We start from the raw sequence: 2,783 nt of genomic DNA, 5'->3' as shown, positions 1-2,783 counted from the left end.
CCTTGTTTTTGACCAAAGGTTGTATTCTTTACATCATCCAGTCTTGTCTCTCATCCATTCTACCTCCTAGAATATTTCTCTCTCATCTTTCCACTTCCCTAACTAGGCACTATATCCTATTTAGCTATTAACTCCTCCAAATTGGTGCAGTAACCTCCTAACAGGTCTCTAGTCTCACCCCATTCCTTACATTGCAGCCAGAGTTTTCAATATACAGACCTGATCTCTTCTCTCCTGTTGCTCTTAGATAGGGTGAAACCCTTAACATAAAGCACAAGGCTGTGCATGACTAGAGTCCCACCTAGGTGTCTGGCATAATCAGACCTCAGCAAATGCCTTTGGGGCCTTCCCACAGCTCTGACCTCGATCCACTGGGGCTATACCCTGCCCTGAGAAAAATGAGTAAATAAAGTTATACCATCCACTACCTCATACACCATATAAGAAAATTAACTCAAAATGGATCAAAGGCCTAAATGTAAGAGTTAAAACTATAAAATTCTTGGAAACTTAGTAAACGTGACAATGGGATATGCAGTGGTTTCTTAAATATGATATCAAAAGCACAAGCAGGTCTGGCATGGTGGCTCAGGCCTATAATCTCAGCATTTTGGGAGGTGGAGGATCACTTGAGGCTGGGAGTTTGAAACCAGCCTGGGCAACATAGCAAGACCCTGTGTCTACAAAAAATTTAAAAAAAATTAGCCTGTAGCCCTAGCTATGCAGGAGGTGGAGGTGGGAGAATTGCTTGAACCCAGGAGTTTGAGGTTACAGCGAGCTGTGATAGCACCACTGCACTCCAGCCTGGGCCACAGAGCAAGATCGTACCTCTTAAAAAAAAAAAAAGAAAAACACAAGCAACCAAAAAAAAAAGAAAATTATATTTCTTTAAATAAAAAACTCTTGTGTATCAAACAACACCACTAAGAAAGTGAAAAGACAACACAATGGGAGAAAATATTTGCAGATCACATATCTAATAAGGGACTTGTATCTGAAATATCTAAATAATTACAATTCAGTAATAAAAAGGAAATAACCTGATTTTAAAATGGCAAATAATTTGAATAGAGATTTCTACAAAGAAGATATCCAAATGCCCAATAAGCACCTGAAAAGAAGCTCAACATCCTTAGTCATTAGGGAAATGCACATTAAAACCACAGTGATTCCAGTTTACACTCACAAGGATGGTCAGAACAAAAAAGCCAGATAACAAGTGTTCGTGAGGATGTGGAGATATTGGAACTCGCATACATTGCTGGTGGGAAGGTAAAATGGTGCAGCCACTTTGAAAAACAATTTGGCAGTTCCTCAAAAGGTTAAATATAAAGTTACCATATGACCCAGCAATTTCACTGCCACATATAATATCCAAAAGGAATGAAAACATTTACACACAACCTTGTACACAAATATTCATAGCAGCATTATTTTTAATAGCCCCAAAGCAGAAACTCAAATGCCCAGCTGATGGATAAGCAATATGTTGTATCTATACATACAACATATTGTATGTATATGGAAATGGAATTGTATGTCTATGGACATATTGTATGTCTATGGAAAATGGAATATTATGGCCATAAAAAAGAATGAAGTGATGATATATGCTTCATTGATGAACCCTGGAAACATTACGCTGAGTGAATGAAATCAGACACAAAAGGCTGCATATTATATCATTCTAATTACATAAAATGTCTAGAATTGACAAATTCATAGAGACAGAAACTAGTGTTGGTTGCCAGGGGCTGAAGGGAATGGGAAAGGGGAATGACTTCTAATGGGTATGAGTCTTCTTTTAGGGGAGCTGCATAACGGAATATTCCAAAAGCCACACATTAAAGGGGTGAGTTTATGGTATGTGAATGATATTTCAATAAAGTTGTGATTAAAAAAATAATTATACCATCCTACAATGGTTTTCTCCTGACTGTAATTACAATAATTGAACTATTGATAAAAGGGCTTTAAAGTAAAAAATTGGTAGGACCTAAAGTTGTCTACATGCAACAAAACAAATATTTATTGAAAACCACCACCTTAAGCTGCCTTTACAAAAATTATAACTGAGAAAATTATGACAGTAAAAGAGATCTGACCTGACTCTTATCTTGCTTCTGACCTCCCAGCTGCCCTTGTTCATTCCTGAGCGTAGGTTAAACTAACTTTGGGAGGAACTTAGTTTATAGTTTAACTTTGAAACAAAGACAGTAACAGCCCTTTTCCAAAACAAGCCCTCTATCCACCAAATTATCTTGAAAAGCCACGATCGCTGAGTTTTCCAGGAGTCTGATTTGAGTAATAATAAAACTCCAGTCTTCCATACAACCAGCTCTGCATGAATTGAACTCTTTATTCCAATTCCCCTGTCTTGATGAATTGGCTTTGCCTGGACAGTGCGCAAGGGGAACTTGTTGGGTGATTACACATCCAGGCACAATCCTAGGGTTCAAGCCAGTCCTTTATAAGCTTATTCCAAATGGAAGTAAGGAAAAGAAAGATCCTTTGAACAAAATCTATGGAAAAGAACTTTAATAGGCCTCATGCCTCCCACTACTAAGGCTTCAGGAGGAGAAGGACTTTTAAACAAATTCCCTTGATGATTCTGAGGCGTGGTCAGATTTGGGAACCACTGAATTAGTCCCTGTAATGAATTACTCCCAGCCTCAAGTACCTATTTAACCCATTGTCATTTGGCTTCCTGCTGCATTTCACAAGTGAAACTGCATTTACGGAAGTCAGGAATGATGTGCTGTTGCCAGATCCAGTAACCTATT

This window comes from Homo sapiens, chromosome 6 (genome assembly GCF_000001405.40).
Source record: "Homo sapiens chromosome 6, GRCh38.p14 Primary Assembly".
Classification (NCBI taxonomy): Eukaryota; Metazoa; Chordata; class Mammalia; order Primates; family Hominidae; genus Homo; species Homo sapiens.
Note: the sequence above shows the minus strand (reverse complement) of the source record.